We start from the raw sequence: 15,172 nt of genomic DNA on the forward strand, positions 1-15,172 counted from the left end.
TGAGGAGTGGTTGGTGAAGAAGGTTAAATGAATCCAATTACTTTGCCAAGAAGGTCTTTTAAGTTTATAGCTATAGATACAGATGAATGGATGGATAGATAGATAGATAGATAGATAGATAGATAGATAGATAGATATGTGGTTAGAGAGATAGATATAGGCATAGACATACAGAATGAAGAAAGAACAGAGTAGAGAGAATAACAAAGGTAAAATATTAATTGGAGAGTATGGATAAAGGGTATACAGAATTTCTTTGTGCTAGTTCTACAACTTTTCAGTAAGTCTGAAATTAGTTCAAAATGAAAAGATAAAAAAACAAACCCAAAATATAAAACCTGATTTTAAAATGCGCAAAAAGCCTGAACAGACACCTCACTAAAGAAGACATACAGATGGCAAATAAGCATATGTAAAGATGCTCAAGATCATAATTCATTAGCAAACTGCAAATCAAAACAATGATGAGATACTACTACAACATATCTATTAAAAGAGTCAAAATCCAAAACACTGAGAATACCAAATGCTGATGAAGATGTGGAGCAAAAGAAACCTTCGTTCATTGCTGGTGGGAATGCAAAATGGTACGGCCACTTAAAAAATGGCAGTTTCTTATAATACTAAACAGATTCTTATAATATGATCCAGCAATCAAGCTCCTTCGTATTTCCCCAATGAGCTGAAAATTTATGCTCACACAAAAACCTGAATACAGATGTTTATAACAGTTTTATTTATCACAGCCAAAATTAGAAGCAACCAACATGTCCTTCAGTAGGTGAATAGACAAACTGTACTACATCTAGACAATGGAATATTATTCAGCATTGAAAAGAAATGAACTATCAAGCCATAAAAAGACATGGAGGAACCATAACTTCTTATTAAGAAAGAAGCTGATTTTAGCCGGGCGTGGTGGCTCACGCCTGTAATCTCAGCACTTTGGGAGGCCGAGGCGGGCAGATCACGAAGTCAGGAGATCGGACCATCCTGGCTAAGGCGGTGAAACCCCGTCTCTACTAAAAATACAAAAAATTAGCTGGGCGTGGTGGCAGGCGTCTGTAGTCCCAGCTACTCGGGAGGCTGAGGCAGGAGAATGGTGTGAAGCCGGGAGGCGGAGCTTGCAGTGAGCCGCGACTGCGCCACTGCGCTCCAGCCTGGGCGACAGAGCGAGACTCCGTCTCAAAAAAAAAAAAAAAAAAAAAAAAAAAAAAAAAAAGCTGATTTTGAAGGGCTGTATATTGTATGATTCTGACTATATAACATTCCAGAAAAGGCAAAACTATGAAGATGGTAAGAAGATCAGTAGTTGTCAGGTAGGAGGGCAGGATGAATAGGCAAAGCACAGAGGATTTTTAGGACACTATTCTGTGATAATATAGTGGTGGATACATGTCATGTTACTTTTGTTAAAACTCATAGAATGCACAACACCAAGGTTGAATCCTAATGTGAACTATACATTTGGGGTAACAATGATGTGTCCACGTAGCTTCATCCGTGGTAACAAATGTACCACTTTGATGTGGGATATTGATGATTGAGGGGAGGCCATGCATGTTATGCATGTCTTGGGGCAGGAGGTACAGGAATAGTCTGTACTTTCCATTCAATTTTGCTGTGAACCAAAAACTGCTCTAAAAAATAAGTCTATTGAAAAGAATCAAAATATTTAAAAATGAGTCAATCAATTAAACAGTTTAGTTCAATATAGAGCCTCAAAAAAACCTTAATATCCTTAATTTTAAGAAATACACAAATGAGCTTATCCATACAACAAATGAAAATTTTCAATTCAAGATAGGATTTTAACAAATCCTGTGTTTGGGAGGGCTTCTACAGGCTGAATATTTGTCCTTCCTCCAAAATTCATATGTTGAAACCTAATCCCCATTGCAGTGGTATTTGGAGGTGGGCCCTTTGGGAGATAATTAGGTCATGAGGGTGGAGCCCTCGTGAATAGGATTAATGTCTCATACAAGGGGCTCCAGAGAACTGCCTTGCCGCTTGAACACATGAGATTCTTGCAAGAAGATGGCCATCCATGATCCAGGAATTTGGCCCTCATCAGACACCAAATCTAACAATTTCTTGATCTTGTACTTCTCAGCCTCCAGAACAGTGAGAAATAGATTCCTAATTATAAGCCACTCAGACTAGTATTTTGTTTTAGCTGCCTGAGTGAACTTAGAATAAACCCAAGATCTTTGCCATGATGACATGTTTTCTTTTTAAGGGAGAAAAAACTGAAATCTAAGTAATATTCATCCAGAAGTAATTTTCAAAGTTTATGATTATCTTTTATAACCACTGTTTCATTGAAAATATACAAAATACAGAATAATATTATTCTACTGATACGATGAGAAAGAATTATCTTGAATCTTGTACTGTATCAAATATTCCTGAAATGGAAAAAATGATTCCTACCTTTTTGTGTTTTTTAATATAATGTTCTCACTGAATTCTTGAATATAACAGGTTTAAATTACTTTACAGTCAATCCTGACAAGATACTAAAAGGCTAAGAATGTAACATGCTGTGGTTTTCCTATCAAACATAATTATGCCTCCTTCAGATGGACTCAGGGTGCCACATCACTCTTAGCTCTGGAGCTATCAGTGAGGACCCTCCTACTTGTTTTATGCCTGATACTGGAAAAATGCAATAACAGGCCATCTGGGCCACTAGGAACAAAGATGCAAAGCTCAGGCAGGTAGGAATGAACTGCTTTTTAAGCAGAAAGTTCTAGTAGGACAAATCCAAATAAAAGATTTGTCTATGCTACAGGAAGTAAAATTAGTCTTTAATGTTTTCAGAAATTTCACATTACAAGAATACTAAGTAGATGTCATTGTGTCAATCAGATGTGAACAAAATTTTTAAGGTGTAAAACACAAGATAAATCTAGCCTCATAGTCTAAAATACATTGTTCCATGTAAAATGAGATCTATTTCTGACAAACACCTTATAATTACCAAAGCTGTATTTTACTTCAAAAGAAATAACTATGACTTTCTCAGTTTGTAAACATTTGATTCAATTCAGTGACTTCTGTTCGTATTTAACATCTGTTCAAATAGATTTTTCAATGACAATGGATAAAAATGAGCAAAAATGTATGTGAGCCTAACATAAACAATTTATTGTTATAAGAAAAACAGATATTTCACTTCCCATTTAATTTCATAGTTTATTCAGTGACTATACAATATTCTATAGTCACTGTGTTATAACATGGAAGTGTTGTAAGAAGCACTTCCACCAAATTTAAGTCAAACAGATTCTGCAAAGTTAACATCTCCTTTTCCCCATTTCCATCTACCTATATTTATGTTAGGGACACTTTGGAAATAATTTGTAGAGTAAGGAAACTTATGGAAAACTATGGACATTTTATAATCACAAGTGACCAACCCTGATATTAGAAAATTCTCAGACACAACAAAATAGATTGCCAGATTTTGCTAATAAAAATACAGAGCAACTAGTTAAACTTGGGTTTCAGATAAACATTAATTTTTTTAAATATAAGAATGTCCCAAATATTGCATGAGAGTATATAAAAATTATTTATTGTGTGTCTGAAATTCAAATTTCACTGGGCATCCTCTCTTTTATCAGGCAATACTATGCAGAGACATTTTAGTAGTGATGCTTTTCTCTCCTATTAGAATGTGAGTCCCTTTATGGCAGAGATGAAATAATTCGTTATGCATCAGTGTGTGATACATAATGAACACACACAACAGAATTGTATTAAATGAAAAACTGAATGTAAAGAACAAATTTTAAAGACCCTCAAATTTGTTCTCTTTTAGAAAACTCTTGAGTTTTGAAATTTTTGTCAAATCTTCCATTATGCAACCGCTATCTACCTCCAGAAATATTCCTTTTCCTTGTAGGTTCAACTAATATAATCTCTTCTCATCTCTTTGTTTAAACTGTTCATATGAAACAGTATATTATATTTATTGAGAGTGATAAGACTCCCAGAGCTTTGGCTTATACATGAGTTTGGATTTACAAAATGCTCCAGGATGGTATGTAGGTGAGGATAAAATGTACCTAGTTTACCAAGCTAATGTTTTAGATATAGGTTCTGTTTGTCTCTGTCTCTGCCTCTTTCTGTTCTGTCTCTGTTTTTCTACATATATTCTCTCTGAATACATGTATACATAAATTTATATATATATGTATACTCTGAATGAAGGTGTGTGGTTTTGCAAGTTCATAACTTTAACTCACAATGGCTAATGCACATTAATCAGGTACCATGTCTCAGAAATGACTATGACCCCAGTAACACTGTGAACTGTGAGATACAGTACATTTTTGATGTTTCTGCTCTGCTGATGCCTTCTCTTCTCCCATGCCTTGGCTGTTACAGTGACCTATATTCCAAGGACCTCAACCTCCTACTCCATCATCCCTCCCAGAGATCATCAGAACCACATTCACTGGTCCTCCAGTCAGTTTCCCACAGCTGTCATTCAGTCTCACAGAATTGGCCTCTATCCTGAATCCCATACAAACCTCAATAGCAACATGACTACTCCCTCCAGGTGGCTTTTGTGCCTTCCCAGGGAATGACAGTAATATTAACTATGAGAACAAAATTAGCAGAAATCACATATTCCCCTTCCCTTTTTACTAGGGAAATTTATTTCAACAGTGTTGTTGTTTGGTGATCTAATTCAAAAGATTGACAAGTGATGTGATTTTTTTGTCCAGTAAGAGAAAACTCAGGGTTATGGTGGTTGTTGGATTATTCTTGCAGGCTACTGGGGTATCCTTGATAATTGGAACCTACTGGAACACCATAATTCCCCTAAGCAAACCAAGCTTCCCCTAAATAGCAGAAGTTCTTAGGAGTTTCTTTTGTGGTCCCTCCTGTGTTGTATTTCACATATAAGCTGCTCCACTGGGAAATCAATGTTTGTCACAGTCTGACCCCACTCAATCTGCTCAAATGTAATTCACACTGTTTTTTTAATGGCATATGACATCTGCTTCTTTCCTTCCTGTCCTCACTGCCTTTGACATGGTTTTTTTCCCTGCTAGTCCTTCTTGTTTAACTACACATCTCTAGGAAAGCTTTCCTGCCTACTCCAGTCAATATTAAATAAAACTTTCTCTGAACTCTCAGTGCACAGTCAGTTTATACACCTGCATACTTCTTGTAATGCTAGCAAAAAAAAATGGCCCCCAAATTTTCTTCCTATATGGAAACTCACATGAGCAGCCATCAATCCCCATCATAATTCTTGTAAAAGTTGTAGCATTTCTATTTCTGTTCATGGAAAGAATAAGATCAAGGATCAACTTCTTAATATTGATATGTGTTTCTGAATAAACACTAAATGGTTTCAAAATCTGTTATTACATGACTATAATCTATTCCTGAAGCAACAGCAAACTGCCATTAGCTTGCACATTTAGCCAAATGTTCACAGGCTGGGATATTAGCAAGAACTCGTAGTAACACTTGAAATACATTCAGAACCCAATTTTATGTGCAGGAAGTTTTCTTTAAAATTTTTAAAGCTAGAATACTATTTTTGAGACAAGAACAGGACACAAGAGTATACACTGTACAGATACCTACTTCAAATTGTTACTAAGAATACATGGGATAATTCCACAACTTGGCTTTCTGTGCCTTAGATGGGACTCCTAAAAGGCTCTAAAGTGGGTCTCATATACGAAAAACATGTACTAATAGTTAAAGGATATCATATAAATGAAAATCTCATAAATTTTCAGTGTAGAGACTACCACCAATTACCTTCTCATTATTTCCTTTTGGCTTCAAATTAATTCAACAAATATTCAGGGAACACCTATTGATTTTTTTTAAGGCCATTTTGCTAGGATCTGGGGTTATAGTAATAAAGGTAAACTCCCTGCCATCAAGGCGCTCACAGTCTAATTCTGAACACCACCAAAGAAAAGAGCACATGAGGGTGACATTTCCAGCTCTAAGGCAGCAGAAGGTATGCATTATACATTTTTTGCATACCCTTCAATCAAGCAATAAAAAATCTTCCCGTTCGACCCTGTGGGAGGAGGCACTTGTGTGGTTCGGTCTGGCAGGACCACCGCCGTGTTGAAAGTCCCCCCAGACAGCTGTGCCCAGCACGGCAGTTTCGTTGGGGTCTAGGGAAAGGGCAGGGTCAGACTGGTCACAATCAGGGCTGGAGATTTTTTGGAGTCAACTCTCCCAAAGGCAATGGGGTCTACTGCTTTATTAGGAAAATGGAAAGAAAAAAGGGAGGGAAACAATGTACCCAGGCGCCCCCACCGCATTCTGATTGGACCCACTTAAGCATCTGCAGAAAACAATAAAATGAAAAAAACTCTTAGAGGTGAAACTCAAAGGTCAACCTCTGGCTGTGCGGGACAATGGGTGTCCGGCCTTCCCTTCCCTTCCCTTCCGAAGTGATGAAGGAGTTCCAATGTTCTGCGAACACTGGAAACCCCAGCGGATCCCTCTAACTCCAGGGCAGCGAAACCACTGGCAGCGGACAGAGGGAGGATTGTCGGTGTGTGAATTGCTACCCTGGGATCCGGACCCAGAGCGGCAGCCGCGCCCCTCCGCCCCCCGCGCGACCCCGGGTCCGAGGCACGCTCCCAGCGGAGCGGTCCTGCGCCCCCGCCCCCTCCAGGAGCCGCGGCGCGCACAGCCGGGCTGGAGCGCGCACCCGGCACTGAGGCTTCGCTGCTCTCGGAGCGCTCAGACCGCGGCCGCCGCAGCCGGCGAAAGAGGCAAAGTCCCGCACGCCGGAGGACATGCGCCTCGGCTAGCGGCCCCGGGCCCCACCACCGTGCGGCTTTCTCCAGATTATTCCTCTCTCGCTGTCTCTGACTGTCTCTCTCTGTCTCTGTCTCTGTCTCTCTCTCTCTCACACACACACACACACACACAAACACACATACGCACGCACGATCTCACTTCGATCTATACACTGGAGGATTAAAACAAACAAACAAAAAAAACATTTCCTTCGCTCCCCCTCCCTCTCCACTCTGAGAAGCAGAGGAGCCGCACGGCGAGGGGCCGCAGACCGTCTGGAAATGCGAATCCTAAAGCGTTTCCTCGCTTGCATTCAGCTCCTCTGTGTTTGCCGCCTGGGTGAGTGAGAAGAGCTCGGTGGGGTTTCAGCTCCGGGATCGGTGGGATGAGGGTGGGAGCATTTCAGCGTGTCCGCGACTTGCCGCCGCCGCCGCCATCTAGCCAGGAGGAAAAAGGGACAGCCAACTGGGCTCCCACGGAGCGGGCGGCCGCGCGGTGCAGGCAGCTGCGTGGGATTTGCGCGCCCCCTCCCCGCCCCGCGCCCTCGCCCCTTCCATCGGCCCGCGGGCATTCGTGCCCCGGGCCCCAGGAGACGGAGCTACTGGAGACGGAGGGCTACTCGGATCCCTGCCGCCACCGTTCTTCTCTCCTCTTTTGCAAAGTGTAGAAATCGCCTTTTAGATATACATAGGAAGATAAATGACCAGAAATACAGCTGTGGTGCGGGGCTGTGTACTGTACTGTCTTTTTTGCTGTTCATTTTTATGCTATAGGTATGATGGGCTTAAATGGAAAGTACACGTGTCTGGTGTGAATTGCAGACACACACACACACACACACACACACCTGAAAGGTAGTAACAGGCACAAGCACCAACCTGACTTTTCAGGGTTTTTTTTATTACTTTCAATTTAGTCATATTCAAGTCTGCGCAATTACTTACAAAAAAAAAAGTTCCATCTAAATCTCTAGGTTTGGTCAGTGCTGCCAAAGTCAGAGGAGAGCTGCAGGTTGATATACTTATTCACAGATTTCATTTTTCATCTGCACCCTCCAGGTTACATTTAAAACTGAAATTGCATTCAGCAATAGCCAGTTTAAGCATTCCCTTTACCTGCGATGCAGACTCAAGTTTTCCAGTCATTTTCGAGAAGTGCAAGATTGGACTTTTGCGTTTTATTAAAGAAATGCTTTTTTTCCTTCATGATTTTCCATCGCGATAGAATATAATGGGTTTACGCATTAACCTGAAAGTTACAAAGTGTTGTACTTCGCTTTGTGAGTACACATATTTAATTCTTTTCAGAGGCTCCCAATTTTTCAATTTTAGATGGTTCATAGTAGAGTAGATATTAAGCGTACATTTTCATCCAATAGATGGTGCTGCTCTTGGCACAGTAACCTTTACAAACAGAAACTATTTTTAAGTTCTAATAAATGAAAATTACATTGCAAATACGGTGATAATTGCCCATAGACCCCCACACACGGACATAATTTAAATTTCAAAGGCTTTATGAAAGTGCTTGGGGTGGTGTGATGCATAGTTGACACATAAGACATGCAAGGGAATCTCTGGTCTCCATTGATTCTAAAACCTTATAGTCAGTTCTGGAGAGGGGAAGACAGCTTTAAAAAGTACGTGGTCATCAAACATCTGTTGAATTCACATTTCTATTGTAGATCTATTTTAACAAAGAAGGCAGGTCCTCTTAGTAATTAAATTATGTAAGTAAATATCACAGTAGCAAGGAAATAAACCAGAGAGTATTGCTTTGTATGTCTTCAAAACCACATGCCCAGAGCATGTTGCGGATCTCTTTGAAAAAAAAAAAAAGATAAAATTCACACATTATACAATTCATCTTTTTAAAATGGTCCAGTGGTTTTTAATATATTCGTGAAGTTGTGCAGCCATCACCACTAATTCCAGAATGTTTTAATGACCCCAAAAAGAAACCCCATGTTCCTTAGCAGCCATTCCCCATTCTCCATGACCCCAGCTCCTAGCAACCACTAATCTACTTTCTGTCTCTATAAATTTGCCTATCCTGGACATTTCATATAAATAGAATCATGCAACTTGTGGCCTTTTCTGTCTGTCTTTGTTCACTTGGCATAATGTTTTCAGTTTCATCCATGTTATAGTATGTATAAGTACTTCATTCCTTTTTGTGGCTGAGTAATATTCCATTATGCCAATATACTAAATATATCACATTTGCAAAGGTTTTTCTCTGTAAAGCATTATTTGTAGCCTATTTTTGGTTGTATAGTTTTCAGTTTGTTGGACATTTTCTTTAAGTCTTTGGTGATGTAAAATTTAAGTGTAAAGAATTTAATTAACTTTTAAAGACTATCACAAGCTTATGTAATGCTACTGAATGTAAGCTTGCATTGGAACTCCAAGTGAGTTTTGTTGAGACTGGAAGGTGACTACTTTTGTATTCCTCACCATTTTAACAAAGTTGGCCTTTTACACAGTTGCCAACAGGCTGACCTGGAGGCATTGGCAACATCAAGTAACATAAATATCTTGATCTTGGGGCAGCATGTTTTGAAAAAGTGAGGCACATTATCTTCAAATGAAAAAGTTAGGCTCCATTTCAATTATTTTTCACTCAGCACCTACTTCAGTGTTTGTGGATGCGTTTACCCCTCATCTTCAGTGTTCTTAGAGCCAATGAGGTAGCCTGACATATGTATTAAGTGCTCAGTAAGGGTCTGTCAACTGACTAAAACTTGCTGTACAGGAGAAGAGCTCAATACAATTTGAACATTAGGCTGTCATTCTTACCATTATCCAGGAACAAGTTGTAGAGTTCACTAAGATATTGATTATTGGCAATTAAGAATGTCTTAGTGATCAGATCAGATCATTTTGTATCTAAAATGTCCTGATGTTTTGAACTGGACATAATAGACCAACTGCTTCTTTCAAATAACTTTCCAGACAAAAAATTTATCAGAATACATGAACCAAAACAAATTTTTCTTGACCCACTGAACAGGTGTATCTTATGGGAAAAACTACAGTGGCTTTCCTGTAAGGAGGCTTAACTATGAGTCATAGAGGAGAGGTAGATATTTTAAGAGCTTTTAAGGAATAATTTCTTCCAATTAATGAAGGAATTCAGGATCTTTGAATTAAGTGAATTATAGTGCTGCAAGGTACACTAAGTTCAAATGTTTAAGTATTATTATTAAATATGTAATGAATCAGATTCTGTACTTCTCAGTCACATCTTACTGCTTTAAGAGCCACATTAACAATAAATTATACCCAACTCCTCTGGAAGAATTAACTTCTTAATTTATGCTGGTTATAGAGTCTGAAATTCAATATGTTGTGACTCTCAGTTTGATCTATTTATCCTCTGAAAACAAATTGTAACCACATATAAAAAATATTCATGCCTTTTTCCCAAATAATAACTAGCCTCTATTCAGAAAATTAATTCCTTTTCATTGCAGAGTTGCAATTTTCTTTATTTCATTTCTCTCTCCTTTTTACGTATACTGTGGTTGCTTCCAGTCAGGGAAGTTTGCCAGGAGAAATCATTTCATTGATGAATTCATTTCTACTCTCATGTCTGCACTAGAGATTCAAGATCTTGCTTAAAATTTTATGTTGTGGGAATTTTGCTTCTGGCAAAAATTCAGGTTTTTCTGGAAGCATAAGCTGCGTTTTCTCATTCCCTTTAACTCCGAAAAGATTTGAGTACTGTCTAAAGTGAGAGATTTGCTTGACCACCCATTTGCTGACCGTTCAGACTGTTGCATGGAAATGGAACCCCCTCAGTCAGGACCAGAAGATCTCAAAGGAAGGCATAATTAAGAAGATGAGCCTGTGTTTCATTTTCAGTTACCATCTGCTCAAGTGTCTACTAGGTGCAGTTTCAGCACTGAGCATTTTATGTACATTTTCTCATTTCATTCTCCTCAAAACCCTTTGATATTGGTGTTTTCATCTTACACCTTTTACAAATGAGGGAACCCGGCACAGAGAACTCAGATAAGTTGCCTAACATCACAAATCCTGATTCAGCCTGTGTATTCCTTCCCAATCCAGAGCCTGAGGCTTTTCCTCTTTTCATTCCCAGGATCAATTTGCTGTTTGGCATTCACTAGCTTGCTTTCATGTGATGTGATGGTACATTTCACAGTCCCATTTGCTTTTCTGAGGATCCCTTTCATGATTTTGCCCATGTACTCTTGTATTACTTTTTTATCCTTTTTTGAAAATTAAGGCATAATTTACATTTTTACCATCTTGAAAGTTTTCACCGATGCATATGGTCATGTAGCAATCACTGTGATCCAGATACAGAATCGTTCCAGCCATGCTACTTTAACTACTCATTCACTAGATGTTCACTAAGTGCCCGACATCTGCAAGGCACCATGCTAGGCGCTGATAATTCAGCTATGCATCAACATACAGAGACTTAAACTCATGATGCTCACAACCCAGTTAATCTGATTCAATCCCACAATGAAAACTTTCTTTAAATCTTGTTTTAAAGATACTTTTTCTGTTCACAACTAGTCGAAAATAAGTCTTTTCCAAATATCTCTTAATGTGTTGAATATGTTAACTCTCAAATACTTTAAAATGCTTCCTGCTCCATTAAGAATTCCAATGGTAAAAGTCAGAGCCAATTTAAACAAGAGAGAGATATGTGTGTATATACATATATAAATGTATATATATGCATATACATAAAAGTGTATATATATATATGTGTTTGTGTATATATATATAAAATATATACATTTAAATTGTATTTCAACTTTTAGTGTCTTATTGAGATTAATTCCTAGAAGTAACTTCAGATTACAAAAGGAAACCAATTTTTCTCTGTGTTTAAAGAAATTAAAGAAATTAAAGAAAGAAAAAATATCATATAGCACAATCTTAAAACACTTGTATTTTAGAAATGTCCTGTTTAATACCATAGCCACTAGGCAGATGTAGCTATGTAATTTAAAATTTATTAAAATAAAACAATTCAGTTCCCTAATCACACCATCCACATTTCAAGTGCTCAGTAATCTGTGTGGCTAGTGGCAATCACATGGGACAGTGCAGACATGGAACATCTCCATCTGGCAGTGTTGTTTTGGAACAACAACAAAAAACGCTGGTAAAATAATGATTGATAGAACTCATGAGGAGTCATCAACTCAACTAGAAAAATTTCTAAAGTCATTGAAATTGTTTGAAGTGTTCGTGCATGTGAGTTAGTTATGGTTTGTGTTGTGTTAGCCTGCAAACATCCTAGAAACATGATGGGGCCTTTGGTAGAGCAGTAATAGGTGAAAAGAGTTCAGTGGCCACTTTGTAGCCTTTATGGACTGAGGTTGAACAGAAGAGATTAACTGCTGGTTCGGGAGTGAGTGCTCTGCTCCCATAGTACATTTTCCATAATTTGTTCTGTTATCCACTGTATTGTTTTTCAATTTATCTGTCTCCTTGACTCGACCACATTATTTGAGGGTAAAGAATCCATTCTTACATTCATCATTCATTCATTGTTAAATTCATTCATTGAAGAATTCAATGAAAAATTCAGTCAACATTGCATTCTTGAACTTAGCACTTACAGTAGGTGCCAATAAATCTTTAATGTATAAGGTTATAGAAAGATTGTACCATGAAGCTTCTTAGAAAAAAAAATAGTTGTTTGTTGTTGAGACTGGCCAATTTTCACTGGTCTTTCCCTCTTTTGATTATGATCTCAGTCCGGGAGTAAGGTCAGCATTCACCTTGACCTGTCCATCTTTAATGTCACTTCTGGTACGCGAACTTCACTTTCACTGATTCTCCCAGAAATACACGTAAGCATATAGGCATCCTCTATGAGGTTGGAGCTGTCATGAATGTGATTAATGCCTGTACAAGCATTACATAGATCCAGACACTATCTGTGCATGGAAAATAAAGTTCCTGTGATTGATACTGAGTGTGTACTTACAGAAGCAGTCTTGAGTGAGCTTTTAATTCTAGAGGAGTTGGCACCAATGAGTTTTGGATACATCCCAGGGGGCCAGAACATCAAGTCAGCTAGTGTGCCACTTTGTATGTGTACAAGTGCATGCGCCTGTGCTGCTCTGGTGTTGGGGAGGAGAGGGCAATGAGGGATGCAGGATGGTCAGTAATGAGTAAATAAAGTATCTTGAGCCCATGAACACTGTATTTTCAGTCAGCCAAAAGCTATCATATTGGTTTAAGTCTTCTCTAGTCAAGAAGGCCGTAAGAGATAGTGACACAAAACAGTTTTGAAAACCAGGCAAATGATGGGAAGTGCAGTTTTATCATGTGGATGTACGTGCTTTTGGAGTTTGTCAATAGTTTTATCATTAATCCTAGAGAGGATGTGCTACACAAGTTTAACTCTGCACATAGCAAATATTTGAACTGAGTTGAATTCAAATGGAATGGGACATGGGATCAGTTAAAAATCTTCATAGGAGTCAAAAGCAGAAAAAAAGGAGATGATCTTTTGTTAGGATATTTGCTTTATTTTCTTCTCAACTACCTTCCTCCCTTCCTTTTTTCTTTCCCTCCTTCCTTCTATTTTTCCTTCCTTCCCCTTTCCTCCCTTCTTCCCTCCCTTCCTCCTTTTATCCTTCATTCCTTTAATCCTTCCTTCTTTTCTTTTTCTTTTTTTGTTGCTATTTCCTCTTCAGCTTCACTTTCTTTTAGCATGAGTTTAAGATAATTAAATAAACTTAAGTTTGCTCAGCACCTTGATGAAAAGTTTGATAGGGAAGAGATTAATGCTATTTGAAACCATTAGTTAAAAATATTTTTACTGTGTTAATATCATTTGGGGGTCTTTGTAGTTAACAAAATTTTTAAAGTATGAGTTGGCAGATGTTTTTGCCTAAATATTCCAGTGTGGTAAAATGGGCTGATTGTCTTTGTTTTCCCCTTCTGATATTTGCCCACAGATATTAAAGTAAACTCAGTTATTTTGGGTACTGGTTAATGTGAAGTTTTTGGCCTTATTCAATAAGTACAAGTCAATTTATGTGCATGCTAACAGGGGATAGTTTTTTTTACAAGTTTCCTTGGAAATGTAGTACTTGGGTACTTGGAAATAATTTATTCATTAGTAAGAAAGAAGGATTTTCTGTTAGAATATCCATAACTATGATGAGAATACAGATATTTTCCTGCTCTTGGAGAAACATTCTACCCTCTCTCTCTGCCTTCCCCTTTAGCACTTACTGGATAAATTTTCTACTTTTTCACTGTTACTGACTGAACTGCCTATTTCTTGAATCCTAAAGCTCTAATGTATTTACCTAAGGATGGGTCTCACTATGAGCTCTTTTCTCTGAACTGATTAACTCAGTACCTTGAGTAGGAATAAAATAAAACATTGATTTTTAAAATGACTCCTTTAAGCAGAGATCATGGTAATAAACAGAGTCTTGATTACATGCTTAGAACATGCTGGCCAGATATAAGGAAGTTTTTAGATTTTCTAATGGTTTTTATTCATATTGTCATCAGATTGAAAATTATTTCTATTATTAAATTTTTACCCACTTGCATTCTGACACATTTTCTTGAATAGGATATGTCAAGGTGGTATTGTCTCAGCTGCTACACAGAGTTGTGCAAAATCATGATCTGCCCAAAGGAGCATAAGGATACCCTTGAGGAGCATGTGGGATATTATTGTCATGTGTGTTTTAGTGCACAAAAACGCTGACAACCATTTATCTAGGTTGATAATTCTCAATCCTGGCTGCATTTTGAACTTACTTGGTGTTATGGACTGAATGTTTGTGTCCTCTCCAAAATTCATGTTGAAGCCCTAACCTGCCATTGTGATCGTATTTGGGGACAGGGCCTTTGCAGGGTAATTAGGTCATGAGGGTGAAGCTGTCATTGATGGGTTTAGTGTCTGTATAAGAAGAGAAAAAGACCAGAATCCTCTCTCTATTCACCATGTAAAGACACAGCAAGAAGGCAGCCATCTGCAATCCAGAAAGAGAGCCCTCGCCAGGAATCAAATCTGCTGGCCTTTTGATCTTAAACTTCCCAGCCTCCATATCTGTGAGAAATAAATGTCTGTTATGTTAGCCACCCAGTAAATGGTATTTTGTTATAGTAGCCCAAGCTGACTATGCACCTGGGAGACTTTTAAATCATACTGATGCCTGGGCATCAAATCAAGTACTTCATAATGTATGGGTGCTGAGCCCAGACATGGACATTTTCTTAAAACTCTCCAGGTGATTATAGAGCACAGCCTGGGACTGAAACCACAGATCTAGGCCAACTTCATGACACTACTAATCTTAGTTCATTTTTCTTAAGGTGGAGATATTTGCAGGTCTTATGCTGTCCTA

The 15,172-nt window shown here is 38.3% G+C and overlaps 1 protein-coding gene across 5 annotated transcripts in view, besides 1 other annotated feature; it reads left to right on the forward strand.

Moving 5' to 3' along the window:
* Window positions 6,700-7,201: an enhancer, noted in NCBI's record as "H3K27ac hESC enhancer chr7:121513171-121513672 (GRCh37/hg19 assembly coordinates)". NCBI's record gives its function as "activates a minimal SCP1, AML or CMV promoter by ChIP-STARR-seq in naive H9 embryonic stem cells {active_cell/tissue: H9 hESC(naive)}" and the evidence as "EXISTENCE:reporter gene assay evidence [ECO:0000049][PMID:30033119]".
* Window positions 6,744-15,172, forward strand: part of PTPRZ1 (protein tyrosine phosphatase receptor type Z1) — a 188,876-nt gene continuing 180,447 nt past the window's right edge. For all 5 annotated transcript variants that reach the window (NM_001369396.1, NM_002851.3, NM_001369395.1 and 2 more), the window contains exon 1: window positions 6,744-7,140. Coding sequence is in view for 4 of the 5 variants with exons in the window: in NM_002851.3 (NP_002842.2) it covers window positions 7,083-7,140 (58 nt within the window). In the remaining variant the exon portion in view is untranslated. The remainder of the gene's footprint in view (window positions 7,141-15,172) is intronic.

The sequence above is a fragment of the Homo sapiens genome, chromosome 7 (genome assembly GCF_000001405.40).
Source record: "Homo sapiens chromosome 7, GRCh38.p14 Primary Assembly".
Lineage (NCBI taxonomy): Eukaryota > Metazoa > Chordata > Mammalia > Primates > Hominidae > Homo > Homo sapiens.